Source organism: Homo sapiens, chromosome 4 (genome assembly GCF_000001405.40).
Source record: "Homo sapiens chromosome 4, GRCh38.p14 Primary Assembly".
Lineage (NCBI taxonomy): Eukaryota > Metazoa > Chordata > Mammalia > Primates > Hominidae > Homo > Homo sapiens.
The window spans coordinates 130189703-130192178 of record NC_000004.12 but is presented as its reverse complement, the minus strand read 5'-3'; positions in this window follow the sequence as shown (position 1 = coordinate 130192178).

Genomic DNA, 2476 nt, shown 5'->3' with positions numbered 1-2476 from the left:
TTCCTAGAGACTTGGAGGGCCCAAAGACAGAAAAATTTGGGAAAGTTTGGAACTTCCTAGAGACTTGTTGAATGGCTTTGACCAAAATGCTGATAGTGATATAAACAATGAAATCCTGGCTGAGGTGGTCTTATATGGAGATGAGGAACTTATTGGGCACTGGAATAAAGGTGATTCTTGCTACGCTTTAGCAAAAAGACTGGTGACATTTTGTCCCTGCCCTAGAGATCTATGGAACTTTGAATTTAAGAGGGATAATTTAGGGTGTCAGACAGAGAAAATTTAAGCATTCAAGAAGCAGCAGAGCATAAAAGTTCAGAAAATTTGCAACCTGGTGATGCAATAGAAAAGAAAAAACTATTTTCTGGGGAGAAATTCAAGCCAGCTGCAGAAATTTGCATAAGTAATGAGGAGCCAAATGTTAATCACCAAGACAATGGGGAAAACGTCTCCAGGGCATGTCAGATATTTTCAAGGCAGCCCCTTCCATCAGAAGGTCAGAGTTCTAGCAAAGAAAAATGGTTTCATGGGTAGACCCAGGTTCCCCCAACTGTGTGCAGCCTTGGGACTTGGTGCCCTATGTTCCAGCTGCTTCAGCTCCAGTCGTGGCTAAAAGGGGTCAAGGTACATTTCTGGCCATTGCTTCAGAGGGTGCAAGCCCCAAGCCTTGGCAGCTTACATGTGGTGTTGAGCTTGAGGGTGCACAGAAGTCAAGAATTGAGGTTTAGGAATCTCTGTCTAGCTTTCAAAGGATGTAAGGACACATCTGGTTGTCCAGGCAGAAGTTTGCTGCAGGAGTAGAGCCCCATGGAGAAACTCTACTAGGGCAATGCAAATGGGAAATGTGAGATTGGAGCTCCCACACAGAGCTCCCACTGAGGCACTGCCTACTGGAGTGGTGAGAAGAGGGCCACCATCCTCCAGACCGCAGAATGGTAGGTCCACTGACAGCTTGCACTGTGTGCCTGGAAAAGCTTCACTCAATGCCAGCCCATGAAAGCAGCCAAGAGCGGGGGCTGTACCCTGCAAAGCCACAGGGGCAGAGCTGCCCAAGGCCATTTGGGAGCCCACCTCTTGCATGAGCATGACCTGGATGTAAGCTCTGGAGTCAAAGGAGATGATTTTGGAGCTTTAAGTTTTGACTTCCTCGCTGTATTTTGGACTTGCATGGGGCCTGCAGCCCCTTTGTTTTGTCAAATTTCTCACATTTGGAATGGGCATGTTTACCCAATGTCTGTACCCTCATTGTATCTAGAAAGTAATTAACTTGCTTTTGATTTTACAAGCTCATAAATGGAAGGGGCATGCCTTGTCTCTGATGAGACTTTGGACTTGGACTTTTGGGTTAACGCTGGAATGAATTAAGACTTTGCAGAACTGTTGGAAGGTTATGATTGTATTTTGAAATGTGAGGAAATAAGATTTGGGAGGAGCCTGGGGCAGAATGATATGGTTTGACTGTGTCCCCATCCAAATCTCACCTTGAATCGCAATCCCCATAATCCCCACGTGTAAAGAGAGAAATCAGGTGGAGGTCATTGAATCAAGGGATTGGTTTCCCCCATGCTGTTCTCATGATAATGAATGAGTCTCACAAGATCTGGTGGTTTTAAGTGTCTGGCATTTCCCTTGCTTGCACTTATTCTCTCCCCTGACACCCTGTGAAGAGTTGCTGTATTAGTCCATTTCATACCGCTATGAAGAAATACCAGAGCCTGGGTAATTTATTTTAAAAAGAGATTTAATGGACTTACAGTTCCAAATGGCTGGGGAGGCCTCACAGTCATGGTGGAAGGTGAAGGAGGAGCAAAGTTACATCTTACCTGGTGGCAGAAAAGAGAGCATGTGCAGGGGAACCGCCCTTTATAAAGCCATCAGATTTCATGAGACTTATTCACCATTACATGAACAGCATGGGAAAAGCCTGCCTTCATGATTCAAGTACTTCCCACCAGGTCCATCTCACTACACTTGGGATTATGAGAACTACAATTCAAGATGAGATTTGGATGGGGACACAGAGGCCCAGAAATCTAGGAGGGAAAAATGGTTTTGTGGGCAGACCCCATGAAACTAAACACTATCAGGGGCCTTCTGCCATGATTGTAAGTTTCCTGAGGCCTCCCCAGTCATGTGGAACTTTGAGTAAATTAAGCCTCTTTTTTTTAAAATAAATTACTCAGTCTCTGGTATTTCTTCATAGCAGCATCAGAATGGACTAATACAGTGATATTACTGGGGCAGTATCGTTCCCTACGGTGCCAAGTACCTAAAATCTGAGGAAAGTTAATGTTTAATCAGGATGTTAGGTTATGCTGTAGAAAAAAAGTTAATGGCTTAATCAAAAAAGATTTATTCTTCTCTCAAATAATATTTTAATACAGGTGCATGAGGGCAGGGGTAGGAATTTTGATCCCAGTAATCAGTCAGGGACTCAGGCTCACAGAGGCTTTCTCTCAGGTTAACGACAGCAGCT